The sequence below is a fragment of the Homo sapiens genome, chromosome 11, assembly GCF_000001405.40.
Source record: "Homo sapiens chromosome 11, GRCh38.p14 Primary Assembly".
Classification (NCBI taxonomy): domain Eukaryota; kingdom Metazoa; phylum Chordata; class Mammalia; order Primates; family Hominidae; genus Homo; species Homo sapiens.
In genome coordinates this window covers 120,231,026-120,249,002 of record NC_000011.10, presented here as the reverse complement: position 1 = coordinate 120,249,002, position 17,977 = coordinate 120,231,026, and the positions used below count along the sequence as shown (strand labels likewise).

Genomic DNA, 17,977 nt, shown 5'->3' with positions numbered 1-17,977 from the left:
ACGCAGCACAGGGGGTGCTTTCAGGGAGCTGGGGCTTTCTAAGTCACCTTTGTTTATAGTTCCTTTAAAACCCAGAGACAAACCACCCCTTAATTCATGCACTGCTGAGAAGGTGAATCTGCCTTTTAAAATCCAAAGGAAGCCATTAAACCAAGTTGGTAACCATTGTGACTCATAATAAGCTTTCTTCTGTAAAAAGAAAATGAGTCAGAACGACTTTCCAGGAAGTTTGGTTACTTTAATTAGCCACCTCTTTCTTCTTGCCCTTAAACACAGGCAGTAATTTGAAGATCACCTAAGTATTGATGCTACCAGCCGGGAGCCCTGAAGTGAAAGATCTCCTGGTGGTGGTAAAGTTCCAGACATCACGGGCTCCTTGGAGCTGAAAAGGGACCTGTGCAGAATCCTTTCCTAAATGGGAAAGGGAGCAAAACCAACCTTCCGGGCTGATGCACTGGCCTGAGTAAAGCGGGGAATGAGCCAGAAGTACTCAGCAGCGATGCCCATCTGTATATTCCAGAATCTTAATGACGATCACAGCTGCCATGTGCCAAGCACTGTGCTAAGGGCTTGAGACATCATCTCAAGTAACTCTCAACCCACTCTCTAAGTTGGGCATTACTTTTCCCCCTTTACAAAAGGGACAAGGATAAATTTTCAGGTCATGCAGCCAGTAAGCAGTGGAGCTGCAAATTTTATCCCAGGTCTGTTTGATTCTAGATCCATACTCTTCAAAGCTCATCCGTTCCTACCTCCTAGGGAGGCAAAGTGGCTGGTCTAAGGTCACATATTGAATTGGTGGTATCCCCGGATAAGAGACAGATTCTGAAGGTCTTAGCCAATGTCTGGATTCTTTCTCTCTTAACCTACTTTATATATAGCTCCCAGATAGGAAGCCAGAATTTGCTCATATTGACCATAACACACTAACCTTCCTAACCCCCACCAGGATTTGAACTCCCTCCCTTTCCTGGCTCCTCTTTCAGGGTTCTATGTGGCTCATTCTCACTCCTAACACTGTTACCCTGATTTGGTCTTAGTAACAGAACACCAGTGCAAGCTGGTTAGGCGTGGTCTTCTTTCCATGTGGACGCTCTCTTAGCTGTGTCCCCACACACCTGGGCAATGGGCCCCAGGTAAACAGAATTGGCTCCAGCCAGCCTGCTTCCAGAAAAGGGCAATCCAGCCTCTCTGGATCATGGCTCCTGGGCTGGTTTTTCTCTAGGGAAGGGTGTCAGTGTGGGGACTATATCTATCACTCTCTAGCTGAACTGAGTTTAAAGTCTTGCTCAGGTTTTTGAGATAAAAGGGAATCTTCTTCTCAACTGGGAAGAACAGGTGCCCCTCTCCACAGACCCTTAGTAAAAGATACTCTGCTAAATAATCTATTGAAACATGAGTGTGACCGGCCCACATTCTCCTTAGTCTTGCTGCCTCTGTACATAAGCAAAGCAAAATAGAAAGATTGTAGTTTGATGTGTATTGCTACCTGTGCAAGGAAACACTGTTTCAGTATTAAACTGGGGAGCAGAAAAGTTTATGGCAAATGCATACTGTGGATGCCCTCCCCGCCAAGACCCCCAATTATCTTGCCCCTGACAAGAATCTCATAGCTTCAAGAATGGAACTACACTGCTCTACAAGATTTGAAAAAGATTTTAGCTCTGGGGGACATTGATTCTCTTCCACTTCTAATTTCTATGTCTCTAATGATCCAGATGAAAGACTAATTGAGGTCTGGTTGGAATGCTATTAAAGTTATTTGGTGGTGCTACAATTTATACTCATCTTTAAGTTCTTTTTAATTATATGGAGCTTTCAAAGCAAGGCTTGAACTATGGAGGTAAAAATAGAGAGCTATGAAACTCTCTTTTTTAATTCTTCTTTGTTCCTCTCAGCTTTTTTTGGGACGGTCCAGCCTCAAACTCCTAGGCTCAAGGAATCCTCCCACCTTGGCCTGCTGACTAGCTGGGACTACTGACATCCTTTCCCTTCTTTCCAAAGCAAAGTCACCTCCAGGCACCAAGCCTTTCTCTCTGAGCCTATTTGCCACCCACATGCACGTTATTTGGAAGAGAAACATTTGTACACAGGCCTCTTTGGTTAGTGCCTTGAGTAGGACTATCAAGGTATCTGGGGCTAAAAGGCCTTGTCCCCATCTAAGAAAGACAGGTTCTGCCTCTGCCAGTCACAGCAGTTGGGAACACAGCTGCTCCTGAACTTTTTTGGTTTTGTTCTGTTTTTAAGTATCTGGTCTCTTCCTAGCCTAATTCCAGAGGTTTTGTTCCACTGTGGAGCAATATCTACTGTTCAAAGGCTCCAGAATCATATCCCATGTCCTCAGGGAATTCCCTTAGTTCCTAAGACCTAGCTTTGGGGTCTGGTTGGCTGAAAGACCAAGCAAGAAGAGACACCAGTTGTTCAACAATTCCCAACAACTCTCTTCCCCCCACCCCCTCCATCCCCGAGAAGAGAAGACCCTTACCTGGCTCCACCTGGCTGAGAGTGCTGCGAGCATCCGTGGAATCGGCTACATCCCCACTCATCTTGATATCTGCAGGGAAAACACAACTGATTTTAATAACAGGTCACAATTTTTCTTGCTATGACATATGTGGCTTTAACTAAATAACAAAGATGAATGTGTAATTACAACAACCATCAGACTTTCAAATTCCTGATTCCCGAACATACAACCATTAGAATATTCATAAGCTTGAGGGCACGGATCCCCTCCTCCCATGCTCGCCTCCTCTCCTTGCCTTTCTCTTCCCCTTTCCCCGGTGCCACTGCAGGGTCTCTCACCTTTTGCATCATTCATGGCCACTTGCTTCTATCACCAGGACTCAGTTGGTAAAAATTTAACAAGGGGGTGGAGGGGACACTTCCCATTTCCAACACTCGTTTCCTTTGGGATCTGAGGAATTTATTTTATTTTTAAATAGTGAAAGAATTATCCCTCCCCGCCTGCCTCCCCAGCTCTGTTTCCCTTAATAACCCCATCCTGGAAGGTAAGAGTGCCCTTAAACCAAGGCTTGCCCTTCTCACCTTTCTTCCCAGGTCCTGCCTGGGTTCTCTGTCTGGTCTCAGAGGTCAGCCCACAGTCTGGGGATCAAGTCCTAGCTCCTGTGTTGTCCTCCTTGGAGATCCTGTCCTTTGGGGATCCTTACCTTCTCTCCTACTCCTTCAACTGGCTCAGTGAGAAAGGGATGGCAGCGGGTCAGTGCCCCACAGAAAGAGAATACCTACACCAGGCCCCTGGCTCAGCCCCCAAGTCCTGCTGGTCCAGCCTCTCTGCCCTGCTTCATTTCAATAAATTAAACATTTACCCTTAACAGACAGCTGCCACCACCTATGTGGGAGGCCCCTAAGTCTCCTCTTGGGGTCAGCAGGGGGAAGAAGAGAGGCAACTTTGAACCAACTCACTCTCTCTCTGCTCCTCTCCTTATTAAACCACCCAAAGACTGAAGCCTTAAAGACAGAAGAATATTTATTCAAATCATGTTGACCCCCACACCCCCCCTTCTCTGGGGCAGCACTTTAACTCTTTCAAACCAGATAAAGTCTTGGTGAGCCAATTTGCGTACTCAGCTCCCCAGCCAATCCCAGTCAAGCAGGCAGTCTTAATTTGCATCAGGTAATCAGGCAGTTGGCAGTCCGGATGCCCAGGTCTGGAGATGATCAGGATGAGGAAAAAGGGTAGACCTGTGCCCCAGGGAAAGAGGGGAGAAAACCTACTTTTTCATGTGTGTGAGGACTAACGTGTGTGGCTCCGGCCGAGGTGTACACCTCTGGAGTGTAGCAGCTTCGATGCCAAACAAGACATAGATGGGGGATCCAGAGATTTAGAGGCTAGAATACCCCAGAAATAGGGGAGAAAGTCAGGAGTCACTGTGGTTTAAGGAGTTTTCAAGACCAGCCAAATTGAGGGAAGACGCCAAGGTAAACACTTAGAGCTCTATGGAACCCTCCCCAGACAAATCTACACTGCACTTTGTGGTCGGTCACAGAGCTCTGAGGAAGACCTGCAACCTTACCCCACCCCCTCCCCTCCTAGTGCACAGCGTTTAGGGAGGCATTTCTTGAGCCTAACCTCAATCCGTCCTGCTGCAGTCTCAAACTCTCTATAGTTTGCCATGCATGAATATGCAGAATAACTACTATGGACCGCCCAGACACATTTGCAAAGGGCTTCTGCTGCCACTGGCCTTCTGTTCCAATGGAGAAACGGGCTCCCCTCTCCCACCCATTAAGTACTATCCCCCCTGGAGCTGGGCATTGCCTAACGCAGATCTGCTCAGCTCATACTTCACCATGGGGATTCTTCAACAGTGCTGAGAAGAGGCCCTGAGTCAGAGACTGCTGGAAAGGTGCACAGGAAGTTCTCCCCCACTGGTGGTTTCAATTTGCTTCATCAGCACCAGGATTCAGAGCATGGGATTTGGCATCAGACAAACCTGGATTAATCTCAATGCCATCACTAACTAGCTAGGGGACCCTAGCCACATATTCGGATGTGAATTTTCTCACCTAAAAATGAGAATAATGATATACACTTCCCAGGGTTTTTGTGAGGATTAAATGAAATACTGAATGAAAACTGCCAGGAAAGGAGTTCCAGGCACAAAGTAAGCACCTAATAAATGAACTAATTAAACAGACACTTAGGCTTAGATGCTAGTCCGCTTCCCTTCCTGCCTTCTTCTCATGCCCCTCCATTAACCCCTTGCCCCATTATAAGGAATAGCTTTGGTTTTCTGTCTCAGCACCATTGTAATTTGTCCTTTATCTGGGAAACCATTAGGATTCTCCAAATTCTGACTTCACAGAAAAAGTGTTCATGAGGACAGGAAAAAGTTAAGAGGCAGTGACGCTGGGATGATGACCAGAGTCTCTGAATCAACTCATTTCAAACTCCTGAAATTTAAGAAGGTAATTCTTTAGCTAAACTGTAATCGCATGCCTAGAACCCAAATTCTCCTCCAACACCCATTCTCCACATCACCTTCATCAAATACACACAGAAGCTCTCATTCATCCTTCAAGTTAGCCTGACATTTAGTCTTAATCATGTCTAAAAATAACTTTCAAAGGCATCAACCCCCTCCCCTCCTCATCTGCCATGTTGTCTACTCATTTGATGTATCCATTATGGGATCAACAAGGTGCCACTTCAGGATTGGAGGGGCAGGGTGAGATAACCTATCAAGCCTCTTCTTGAGTCCCATAGGATGCTAAGACACTGAGAACCTGTTCCTGTTGGGTAGGAGGCTGAGGCTGATGGGTGGGACGAGCTTTTGGGTCTCAGCCTAAAAATGGGCCAACACCGAAACTCCCTGAGACACTGTAACCCTTCACCTGTCGGACAGCACTTGCCAGGGGTGAGTGAGAGAGGTGTGGGGTGGGGCCAGGCTCCTCTGTGTTATCTCAGCCAGACACTGAGTAGGCTCCTTGCCATCACTCCCTTCCCTGGGGAGGCTCAGCTGCTCTGTGAAAGAGCCCAGACACCAGCTGCAGACCCTTGGCTGCCCCACTCAGCACCATCACACCCTGAAGTTAGCGTTGGCTTGACCAGGAGTGGGCCCTCCTTAGACATCTGTGAACCCCAGGGAAGAAAGCTCGAGAGGAAGCACTCCCCACAGGCTGCAGGCTGAGGGTCCTGGACCTCCTGGGACCAGGCTACTCTGGGAAAGCAGAAGCCACAGCCCTCTCTCCTAGTGTCCATCTTCATGTTCTTGGAAGGACGGGAGCTCCCTCTGGCTCCTCCCGCACATACCTGCTGATGGCGGCACTTCCACTGGGAGACTTCAAAGGACCCACCGGCCCCACTTCTGAGCTAGCCAAGGCTCCAACTCTCCGCCAGAGGAGACTTCTCTCATTTCTTCTCAGTCCCATCATCAGGCCTTCCAACCCAAATGCTATTCCTGAGCTCCAATTGGCACCCGTCTGTGAGACTCAGCCCCCCTTTCCCAACCTTGGTGGGGAAAAGCTCACAGTGAGGAGAAGGGCAGAGAAAGAGACACCTGGGGCAAACCAGGTGTGCCCCCGCCCGCTGGCTTCCCACTGTTTTCCTTTGTCTCTTATCTGCCTCCCTAGCTGGCTGTCTCGGGTCTACTTCTCTGCCTGTTTTTAGTCAGGGAGCAGGGAGCCCCTCCTTGCTGCAGAGCCCCTGTGTCTGGTGACCCTCTGCCTGCTCAGGTCTTTGTGCTTCCAGGTGAGAGATGCTCTATAAAGTACAAGGTGCGAAGGCTCCAGGCAGACCTGAATCATGGCTCGTACCCAGGTTATCAGAGCAAGACAATGGGGCTAACTCCAGCTGGCCTCAGTGCGAGTGGAGCCCTTGGAGTGGGCGACCCGGGAGCAAGCCTATGCTCTAGTTTGTGTGCTCCTGTTCCTCCTCCTTCCCCCATCCAAACTCCTCCAGTAAGTCAATTAAGGAGGAGACCCCAAGGACCCAGCCCTGGGAATTCACAGGAGAAGTACTATTTATCAAGATCAGTAGGATACAGGATTACCTTGGCGGGGGAAAATGGGACTCAAAAGAGACCACATTTCCAAAAGAGGATCCTGGACTAAGGGACCCTAGAGAGGGACCCATAATGAGATATTCCATAGAGGGAAGAGCGATCCTCCTTCACAGACCCCACAGCAGGGTGCGCACTGGAAGACCCTACAAAGAAGATCTTGAACAGTAAAGGCCACCAGGAGGACCCAGCAAAGAGAGCCCTCTAATAGAGACCCAGTTAGAGAGATGGGACAGAAAGTCCTAAACTCAGAGACCTCTGGAGGTGCCACTGAAGGGGAACCCTCAGACACTACAGAGGGGCCAAGACCCAGAAACTGCACAGGGAGGCCAGGTAGCCCTGAGGGGGGAATGGGCTGGGGAGGGAGCAGGCAAATGGAGAGAGATGAATTGGGCAATCTACCCCCAGGTACATGGAGATCCCGCCCTGAGGAATCACCCCACCTGGGGTTTAGCTCAGTCTCCCCCCATGTGTCGGGAATACCTGCTCACAGGGACAGGGTGGAGAAGGTGTCTGGGCTTCTGAGAAGCATCAGCCAGGAGCTCACTCCTGGGGAAGGCATAGAGGCCAAGCCCTATGCCTCAACCTCATCCTCTGGTGTTCTCTGCTCTCTGCTATATCCTCTGAGGCCCCAGGCTGCCTCCCTGCTGGGTCCCAACTGTCCCACCCCCTCCCACTTCCACAGAATGGGAGCCTCCAGTAGACAAGGAGGTGGAAAACCCCCAGGAAGTCTGTGATCTTGGTGCTAAAAAACTTCCCATCCACTGCTAAGCCCACCTTTCTGAAGAGACTTGCTCCCATTCAAACCCTGGCCTTCTCTGCGGGCAGTGAAGGGGAGAGCACCTACCCGGGGATCTGCCCCAGGTATGCCCAGTCTAGAAACAGACTTTCCTCAGACTCTGGATGACACCCAGTTGGATGGCTTCTTCCGCCTCACCTAGCCTTTCTGGCACGTCCTGGAGAGCCACTCAGTGCCAACATCTCACTGCCAGTCTGCCTCTCACTCAGCCCTGCCAGGAAACAGCATCTGGGGAACTGGGCACTCCAGGTCCCCTCCCTCCGGGCACTCACTGACGCTTGTTTTCAGGCTGGGTAGGCCTCAGGCCTGCTCTGCTTCTTGGGGTGGGTCTGGAGCATTGCCTCCTCCCTACTCTCCCAGAAAGGAGACCAGGTAACAACATTCCCATCAACAGCCCCGAAATCCTAAAGAAAGATCACTGGGTCCTGCCCACTTTGAGAGTAAGTTGCTAGGTTAGAAATGGCCAGGTCAGGTACCGCTTTCTTCACTTGTTCTTTGCTCAGGCCCTGTGACCTCCAGAAGGCCCACCCTAACAGGAAGCCCCAAGCCAAGCCCAACCTGGCTGCCTGGCAGCTCCTGCCTTAGCCCAGCTGTGGAAGGAGGAACAGCAAGGTGAATGGAGGGGCTGGGTTCCCTCCATGCCCACCTCTCATTCATTCATTCAGGGAAGCCTGACTCCCGGCAAAGCATTTGCATCTCCTAGGTTTCCACCCCTTAGGGAAGGAAGGCATGGGACATGGAACCCAGAGGATGTGTCTGTCACCATCCCTTCTCAAACACATGGGGGCATGGCCCCTGCCCCAGGGGCACCTCTGTAATTGCCCCACCTCAGCCACTTCTCCTAAGCCCCCCAACCACCTAAATGTCCGCTTTGCCTCCATTTCACACATATGCCCGGACACCAGCACACAGCATGTGGACATACACATTTCCCTCACTTATGCACTCCCAGGTCCACACCCCTGGCTGAGTGAGTGAACCACCCATCCCTGCAACCTCCTGAGACTATGACAGTTCAGTACACCCACGTCCCATACAACTGCCACTCCCCAGACCGGGGGCTTCGAAGCCCTCCCGCCCTTCACCAGCCCCCACCCTCATTCTTTTCCAGGGTTTCTTATCCCAGATCCCCTCCCTTTAGTCCCCAAATACTGACCGGCACCCACCCCAGGACAACCCGCTATCCACACCGCCCTCTCCTGGCCGCTGGGAAACAAGCCCCCCTCCCTAACCAGAACGTTGTCCCTCTCCTTCACCCCTGCCCACGCGCAGTGACACCTGTCAGAGCTCATTCCCTCCGCCCCTCACCTGTGTGCATGGACTCCAGATTCACCATCCTGCCCCAGGCGGGGCCAAAGCCAGCGCCCCCCCAGGCCCCTCGCCTCTGCCCCAGCCGGGGCCCCTGCGAAGCCAGGGTCTCCTTCCTCCAGTTCCCGGCCGCCGCCGCCGCGGGAGCCGCTGCCGGAGCCGTCGCCGCCACTGTCGCGCGCTCCGCTGCTCCGGCCCGGGCAACACTCGGCGCCGCCAGGATTGCCACACTCCCCAGGTGAGCACGCGGCGCGGGGCGGGGGCCGCCGGCCACGCCCCCTGGCAGGAGCCCCGCGCCTGGCCCCAGGCCCATGCAAAGCAGTGATTTGCATACATGGAGCTGGGGACCTGGGGAGGGGGCCGGGGGTGCTGCCGGGGCGGGTCTCGATCCCGCGGAACACCTGCCTGCTCCAACCCAGCCTGGCAGCACCTCCTCACCGCGCCCGGAGTGGCGCCAACTCCTGGTCCTGCTCGCCCTTTTTAGGAAGCCCTGGCGGGTTCTCCAGCCTGAGCCCGAGCTTCCTTCTGGACAGATCGCGAAGTGTAAGCGCTGCAAGGAGTTGGAGTGTTTGGAGAAGTCGCGGGGGTCTGCTGGAAAGAATTCAGTTTTGGAATCTCGCCTCCCAACCGCTTACCAGCAGTGTGGCTGGGACAAGGTTCTTCACCTCCCTGAGCTCATTTAACTCACCTGTAAAACAGGACAGGTGCTAATCGGGTTCCCTATTGGGCTGAGCAGGTGACCAAGCTCACCTAGCCCCCATGGCATCCTCACAGCATTGTGGGATTTAGACGGGGTGCAGTTTATTATTAGCAGAGTTTCCAGGTGCACACAACTGCTTCCTGCTTGCCCCTCCAGTCTCCCGCCCCAGGTCCCAGGTTGCTGTGAGGCTCTACGAGATGATGGATGTGGAAGTTACCAGTGCCCAGGCTTTTGGTGACAGCCACCTTCCAGAGCGGGGAAGCGGCTTGCTCAAAGGTGCACACTTCCCTAGTGACAGAGCCTGGCTGGAATCAGGTCTCTGGACTCCCACTCCAGTGCTCTTTGCAGCACCCATCATAGGCTCACCCCTTTCTCTTCGTCTCTTCAAGTCCCAGTAAGTGGTCTGTCACCACAGGATGGCCTGCATGGAAGCCCAGAAAGCTGTGTGCAGACAGGAGGGCAGGGCCTCGCTTTCCTTCCCAGACAGGACTCCTCATGAACATGTCTTCTCCTTAGTCCCATGGGCTACTTTCTGAGCACAGAACAGGTTTTGGGCTTTCCTGCCTCTACACCTTGTTTACAGTGTCCTTTCCCCCTGGCACGCCCATCCCACCGTGCACTCCAGTCATGCCCACGATAACACCCAGCATTTCGTGTGCCTTCACTGTGTATCAAGCACTGGGGTGACCAACACTTGAAAGGCATCTTTCGTGCCTTTAGTTCTTGTTTAGTCCTCAAAACCTGTACATTGTACTATGATTATTGCCATTTTATAGATGGGGAAAATGAGGCTTAGAGAGTTTAAGTTCCGTGTTCTTTTTTTTTTTTTTTTTTTTTTTTTTTTAGACAGAGTCTTGCTCTGTTGCCAGGCTGGAGTGCAGTGGTGCAATCTCGGCTCACTGCAACCTCCACCTCCTGGGTTCAAGCGATTCTCCTCAGCCTCCTGAGTGGCTGAGACTATAAGCACGTGCCACTACACCCAGCTAATTTTTGTGTTTTTAGGAGAGACAGGGTTTCACCACGTTGCCAGGATGGTCTCGATCTCCTGACCTCGTGATCCACCCGCCTCAGCCTCCCAAAGTGCTGGGATGACATGTGTGAGCCACCACGCCCAGCCTAAGTTCCATGTTCTTAACAGCCTTCGTGGCAGGTTCTGAGGGCCTTTTCTTAGCTTACCCCCTGGTTGGTAACTGATCAATTGCTTCATTCTAGTGCCAGCACCCCAGCACCTAGAACAGGGCTGGGCACACAACAGGTATCAGAAAGTGTTCTGTGGGTGCTACAGTGGCCCCAGAGGAACAGGAAGCACTTAATTGCTTCTTCAGGTCCACATACACCACCCTCCCCAGTCACATGGACCTCCCTTCCCCACGCTCCCGAAAAGAAGGGAGGAGAGAAACTTCTTCTTGCTTCTTTTTCTTTTTCTTTTTTGAGATGGAGTTTCTACCTTGTTGCCCAGGCTGGAGTGCAATGGCATCATCTCGGCTCACGGCAATCTCCGCCTCCCAGGTTCAAGCGATTCTCCTGCCTCAGCCTCCCGAGTAGCTGGGATTACAGGCATGCGCCACCATGCCCGGCTAATTTTGTATTTTTAGTAGAGACGGGGTTTCTCCATGTTGGTCAGGCTGGTCTCAAACTCCTGACCTCAGGTGATCTGCCTGCCTCGGCCTCCCAAAGAGCTGGGATTACAGGTGTGAGCCACCGTCCCCTGCACTTTTTCTTGTTTCTTCTGGGTGAGGAAAGAGACCAGCAAGGGCTTATTGGAGGCCCAAGGGGGTCCCTCTCAGGACACTCTCAGCCTCTGTTCCTTCCTTCCCTCCTATTCAACACTCCCCCAACTCCCATCCCCTTCTGGCCTTTTCTTCTCCTCCCCAACTTCAGGTTTGGCCCCTTCCCTGAAGTCCATTTCTTACCTACAACTGCACTCACCTACCACCATTCTGGAAAAATGCCTGCACACAGCTTATATACCCCTGTGTGCTTGTGATTTCCATATCTCTATTTGCATATTATTTGCATGGCCATGTGCACCGAGGGTCTCATTCTCCGACCACCTTATCTGGGGCCCGTTGCCCTTTTTCATGTGCAAAGTCACATTTCTTCTCTGGGCTTTAGTTTTCCAAAAGTCAGAGAGGCCCATATTTGATAATTTCAAAGGGCCTTCTGTCTCCAGCAGCCTAGGATTCTGGGGTTCTGGGGGGAATGGGGATATGGAGTTCTTGTGGGGATTGGGGTGGAAGCTGAGGCACAGATAGGACCTTGGAGGTTCACAGCTGGAGGCACAGCTTTGGGTTCCAAACTTGGAGTGTGGAGGTAGGAGGATGAACGGGGCAGAAGGGGCTGGGTGGGGAGAGGATAGCAGATACTCCCTCACATTCATTCATTTACTCATTCACTCAATGAATATAGATTGAGTGCTTCCTACGTGCCAAGAACTGTGCTCCATGCTGAACATACACCATCTGATTTTAGTCAGTGCCACTTTAGATGGAAGGTACAATTATTAGCCCTGCGTTACAGATGAGAAAACTGAGGTTCAGAGAAGTAAACGCAGCTAGTAGACTACAGAGTTGGTATTTAGACCCAGGGCTGCCAACCCCAAAGCCAGGATTTTAGTCCTGCCCTCCAGTTTCTGAATCTGAGCTTCCCCTTCTCTTATCAGATAACGAGGTAGAAAGAACCTAGATATCATTGAACCCTTCATTTGAGGGACCTGAGGCCCACAAGGAGGGGGACTTACCCCAGAAAACAGAACAAACATATGGCTCAGCAGAGACGTTTCTACTCTTCCCTGCTTCTCCCTCATGTGCCCTGAGGCTTAGAAGGCTGGGGTGCCCTCTAAGTCCCACCTGTGTATAGGGTTGAGGGGGAATGGTGAGCAATCTTTATTCCTTCTCTCTCAGACTTGCTCACTGATCATTTCAGTTAGATGAGCTAGAATGGGAACGTAGAGAACTCCTTTACCCCTTCCTCCTTTAGCAGTTCTTGGAGACTCCATGAAACCGGTTTTTTGAGCTCTGGGCTGGAGTGAGATAGAGAGGAAAATGTCAACCCCCCTGAGCCTGATACTCCCTGTCCCTGTTTAGCTTAGGAGAGGAAAAGCTGTGGGGAAGAGAGAGAGATAGGGGTTTGCCTGGAGGTTAGAAAGGAACAGAAGAAAGAAAGGGAAAAAGAAGCCAGGACAGGAAATTTCTGTGCCTTTGGACATCAAAAGAACTATATGTAAATGAAATGCAAATTAAATGCAAATCATCCCTCCCTCCCTCCCTTACCCCACCTCTCTCAACAGCTGGAGGACTTTTTTCAGAGTAGCAGAAGCCTTACTCCAGGATGCTGTGGTTTTGAAACTGTCATCAATTCTGACCCCTCCCCAGGTCCTCCGGGGTCTCCTGGAGTGACATCTAACCCCCTTGGCTGCACCTCTAGGGAGTCACTAGTGCCCCAGGCTTCATTTCTATTTGAACATATCATCAACTTCTTTTGTTTCAAGGACAGAAAGCTCTAAGAGTCAAGCCTCCTTTCCAGACACAGTGGGTGGAAATGGTGCACAGCCCTGGAGAGGGTACTGCGTGGAGTGGGCCCAAGCCCCATCCCCACCTCAGCAGGGAAAAGGGACCTTCTTGGCTGTAGACCCTGGGCTCACTCCCATTTCCTGTCCTGTCAGCTGGATTGAGTTGTCAGGGCTAGGAGAAGGGCGGAGAGTGAGGCATCCTGGAAGGCCACCAAGGAACAAGTCCCTTCTAGCCCTTTCCTTCTGCCAGATGGGCCATGGGGCCCAGAGCGTGGGGGTACAGGAGAGGGTCAGCTCCTTGCCTCAGGGTGATCAAAGAGAATGGATCCAAACTCAGATTCCCAATAAAAGCAGATGGGAGCAAGGGAGAGGCTAGGAAGGACTTCCAGGCCTGTTTTAAATCATATGTCAAGGTACATCTGAGGGCATCATTGCCGGGAGGCTTTTGGTGGAGGTGGGGTTCGTGTCAGGGTGACACAGTGAAAGGTGTCTTGGGAACCAGGATAAGGTAACTGTGACTGGCGAGGGGATGGGTAGAGGACACCAGAGTCAGGATACAGAGCTATTCTCTGCTCTGATGTCTCTAATGCTGAATACCCCCTGCCCTTGCCCAAGAGACATCTCCCCATACCCAGCCTTCACCCATGTCGGGGGGCAGTACACACACATTCATTGTCCATTTTGCACTTAAAAGTTCAGAATCATTGATAATAGCAACATATATTTAATTTAAAGACAACATAACAGCAACTCTGCTTCCAATCAATTTTTTTGACTTTGAGGCCGGCATTGGACCTGAGCTGGATCTTTCTAACTGCACCTTCGACAGAGCCCAGCCTCAGCCTCTGCCTCAGCCAGCCCTTTCCTGGCTGCCTGGACCCACCTCACCCCAGGTAACCTTCCCAATCCACTTACACGCTCAGGGCAAGTCTAGGCCCTGCGCGCCCTCTCGTGGTCACAGGGGCGTGTGACCCTGACTTTTGCACCTCTACCTGCAAGACCCTGGAGAGATCTTTTCACAGGAGTGCCCATCCATGGCTGGGGGATGCACAGGGGAGGGCCCCAGGTCTAGGCAAGATGGGGATGTTGAATTTTAGTTTCAGACTACCATTGGGTCTTCCAGTCCCTGCTCCCCATCAAAGACCAGACCTCAGCCCAGAACCCTAGTTGGAGTCAGCCAGCTTGGTTGTTTCTGCTCAGTCAACGCAGTGACAGGTGCTCCTGGCCCGTTGGGCTATCCGTCCTGTTGCTGGACATCTCTGCCAGTCAAAATGTCCTACCTCCTGTACTTCCCTTTGCAGCTGCAAAGGGCACTGATCCCCGTGGGATCAGCGTATAGACAAGGACTGAGTGTGAAGGCGCGAAAGCAGGAGCCACGAGGGTGGTGATATTCACATGGGAAGGACCTGGAATCTGCCCTGACTTCGGTGAAAATAGTTCAGCCATTTCAGTAACAGATGACTTGTGACACATATCCTAGCTGATTGCTGCATAGCCTTGAGTAGCGATTCCAAGGTTGGAAAGTGCTGGGGAGGAGGATGCTGGCAAAAAGGTGGTCTGTGAAGGAGCCGGGAGAAATAGGGCAGAGGTGGAGAGGGACCTGGTTTTGAGGTGTTTTTTTATTTTGTTCTTAAGATGAGAAAGAATGCGAACTCTCCAGGGCCACTGGGAAGGAAGCAGGAAAGGGAGCAATGCTAGAGGAAGAGGGGATCATTTCCCCCAGAGAGGGAGGTCCGGGAGAGTGGGGAGAAAAGACATGTCTCCATGAGGTCAGGAGGGGAACTGGGAAGGTGGGTGCCAGCGTAGGCCAGGGAGTGGTGAAGAGGCTTCTCCTCTCGAGGCTTCTGCTTTCTGTGATGTAGGAGGGGAGGGAGCTGCCTCTCATCCTGCCTCTCCCTGCTTAGGAATCAGGACCTTGTCACAGGAGCCAGGGCTGGTGAGATAGTTGCCCCCCAGGGGCATGTGGACACCACCCTTGTGACTGTCTTTCCCTGGCTCCACTGAGAGCTCCTGAGGTCCAGCCCTTCTCCATGGAGGTCTGCACTGAATACCCACCAAGTGAGCCTACACTTTCCACCCGCTTTTACCCTCTTCCCTTCTACCACTAACCTTCTAGGTCCCCAGCTGGGGCCACTGTGGTTATCAGTCAGGGTTTCTGCAGGAAAACAGAACCAACTTAACTCGGAGTGCCTCTAACAAAGGTGTTATTGACAGAGATGCCAGCAGGCTTAAGGGAACCAGCACCCAGAGAGGGGCTGCACAGAGAAGCGAGGGCAGAAGAGGCAACAGGAGGAGACAGTGGTATGGGAGCCCCGGAAGATCTGGAGCCTTGGAGGAATGAAGCCAGTGCCACATGTGTGGTGCTGAGGCAGCCAGCAGGGAACTGACACCCCACTGCTGTCCTGTGCTCCCACCTGCAGTGCTTCTCATCGGCTGAAGCCAGAGGGTGAGGAATCCCAGGTGAGGGCAGAGGAGGGTGGAGGGGAACAACCATCCCAGCTGTCACCTGGCTACAGCCAATAGCTGATACTGAGAATAAGCCCTGGAATGCTGTCATGTTTCTCACTGGTCAAACAGCGAACAGTTTATGACAATACCAAGCGATGGCAGGCATGATGATTCATTTTATGTGCCAATTTGGCCAGGCTCTCATACCCAGCTGTTTTGTCAAACATTAGCCTAGACGTTGCTGTGAAGGTATTTTATAGACGTGACTACCTTTATAATCAGTTGACTTTAAGTAAAAGATCACCCCTGTATTGCGGGTGGTCCTCATCCAATCAGTTGAAGGCCTAAAGAGCGAAAATGGAGGTTTCCTGAAGAAGACATTCTGCCTTAAGACTATAACACAAGAGTCCCGCCTGAGCTTCCAGCCTGCTGCCCTGCCCTACAAATTTCAGACTCCCGGCTGGCCACAACATTAAGTTTTGCCTCAGCTGCCAGACTGCTAGTTTGTTAGGATTTTGGGCTTGCCAGACCCCAAAATCCAGCAAGCTAATTCCTTAAAATAAATCTTTCTCTATGTGTGTATCTTACTGGTTCTGTTTCTCTGGAGAGCCCTGACTGATACCACAGGAATATGAGAGAACGGGAACTTTCAGACACTGCTAGTTGTGTGTAAACTGGAACGGCCCCAGCTGTAGGGTGATCTGACAGCATCTACAATGTTCACGCCTGTGACACAGACATTCCAGTTGCCTGTTTTTTCTTTTCTTTTTTGGAGATTGAGTCTCACTCCATCACCCAGGCTGAAGTGCAGTGGTGCGATCTTGGCTCACTGCAGCTTCCGCCTCCCGGATTCAAGCGATTCTCCTGCCTCAGCCTCTCAAGTAGCTGGGATTACAGGCGCCCATCACCACGCCGGCTAATTTTTGTATTTTTAGTAGAGAGGGGGTTTCGCCATGTTGGTCAGGCTGGTCTTGAACTTCTGACCTCAGGTGATCTGCCCGCCTCGGCTTCCCAAAGTGCTGGGATTAGAGTCAGTTGCCTGTTTTTTCTATTCCTGCCTACAACCTGGCTTGTAAGAGCAAGTCACAGTAAACAATTCGATTTTCCATCAGTAGCCAAATGGCCAATAGACCATTTGGGAGAATATTAGGCGATTAGACATGGAATGCCCGTGTTGGGGAAGACCTTGGAGATAACCCAGTGAGACCCTCTCTCTTATGGGATGTGTGTGACCCACACAAGGTCACACAGAGCTGGGCCCCAGCGGGTGCCCATGCTCCTCAGATACAATGCTGGCCTCGAGCCTTTGGTTCTTGAGAGTGGCACTTGCCCTCCTTTTTGCCGGAGTCCTTGTCCCCTCATCCACCAGAGCCAGGTCCAATAAAGACCCTGGGGTAGAGGTCCTCCAGCTGTGGCCCACAGTTCCCCCACTGAAGGCCTCCCTTGGCTAACAAGCCTGAAGGGAGAGATGCCTGAAGAAAACCCACAGGAAGTCCATAGTGAGGTCCAGCCCAGCCCGGGTGAGGTTGCCCAGGGAACCAGGCACAACTCATCCTCCCGGCTTGCAGCAGCACCAGTCAGGGCTGGGTTTCTGGCCTCCCCGAGGGTGCTTTGCTTACCCTGGCAAACGGAAATCAGGCAGTTCTTCCTGCCAATTCTGGTCCCAGGAATCTTTGGACACTGTCCCCACCACCCCCTGCCCACATGTTCAATGATTGCTACTACAGAGACTGGCCCAGCAGGTGCTCTACACTCCACACTCCTCCCCGTCCCACCGAAGCCTAGGTCCCCTCCTGTGGGTGAGCTGTGCTCTCGGAAGTTCTGGCTGGCCAACCTCATAAAGCACTTTGGGTTGGGAGGGGGTGTGGAGTAAGAAGGACAGGGGTTGGATCTCAGTTCTGTTCTAACAAGATGCCTGGACTTGAACTTGGGCTGGTCACACAATTTTATAAGGGAGCCACATCTATAAAATGTTACAGAGTCACTACAAGGAGCCAATGGCCAATTTATATGAAGGCACATTGTAAACCCTAAAGTCCGCAGAGAAATAAGTACTGATATTACCACTCCCAAGTGTTTTACACGGCCACAAAAGCCTCCTGCGATAGGGAAGTCTTATCTCAGTGTTTGCCAAACAGCTGACCACCTACATCTATTTCAACAAGCTCCTAAGTGATTCTGATGCACACTAAAATTTGCTTTTCAGCAAAGAAGTGACTGTCACGGCAGGATTTCAGGTGCTGTGACAGTGGGGCTAAGGCGGTTGGGCGAGTGCTTTGGAATGGTGGACTCGAGCCCTTGGATGTGGCCCTGTGGGAGGTGCCTACTTTGCAGAGTGTTAAGGTCAGCCCAAAGTCTCAGGGATTCTTCTCATCACCATCCCCTGAGACTAAGGAGCCCAAGGCAGCTGGTGTCTGTAGTGATGGTGTCCAGAGCCCCCTCACTGCAGGGGCCAGACAAGCTAGGAGGTGCTAGTCAAGGAAGGTCAGAAAAACACTCCAAGTCTTGAAAACATTGCTTTTTAAAAAAGCATTATTTTTGGTGACTTGGAAATCAGAAGGGAAAACATACTGATTTGGGGACTCCCCTTCCATCAAAAAAGGCACACAGGAGGTAGCAGGTGCCTTCTCCAAGTATCCCTTGCCCACCTGGAGCAATGGCTGGGGCTTGGGATGGAGGCCCTGGCA

At 51.7% G+C, this 17,977-nt stretch overlaps 1 protein-coding gene across 9 annotated transcripts in view, besides 1 other annotated feature; it reads right to left on the bottom strand.

Moving 5' to 3' along the window:
* Positions 1-12,365, bottom strand: part of POU2F3 (POU class 2 homeobox 3) — an 83,308-nt gene extending 70,943 nt beyond the window's left edge. For 3 of the 9 annotated variants that reach the window (NM_014352.4, XM_011542741.4, XM_017017487.2), the window contains exons 1-2: positions 8,632-8,863; positions 2,486-2,554 (exon numbers count right to left, since the gene is read on the bottom strand). In NM_014352.4, the coding sequence (NP_055167.2) occupies positions 2,486-2,554; positions 8,632-8,659 (97 nt within the window). In that variant the 5' untranslated portion in view covers positions 8,660-8,863. Of the gene's footprint in view, positions 1-2,485; positions 2,555-2,805; positions 2,918-3,048; positions 3,191-5,776; positions 8,307-8,631; positions 8,864-12,295 lie in introns of those variants that run through there. The other 6 variants (XM_011542739.3, XM_011542742.4, XM_011542740.3 and 3 more) reach the window with 5 other exon arrangements.
* Positions 13,659-13,881: a silencer, noted in NCBI's record as "fragment chr11:120105831-120106053 (GRCh37/hg19 assembly coordinates)". NCBI's record gives its function as "represses an EF-1alpha promoter that drives an FKBP-Casp9 reporter gene in an ReSE screen in K562 erythroleukemia cells {active_cell/tissue: K562}" and the evidence as "EXISTENCE:reporter gene assay evidence [ECO:0000049][PMID:32094911]".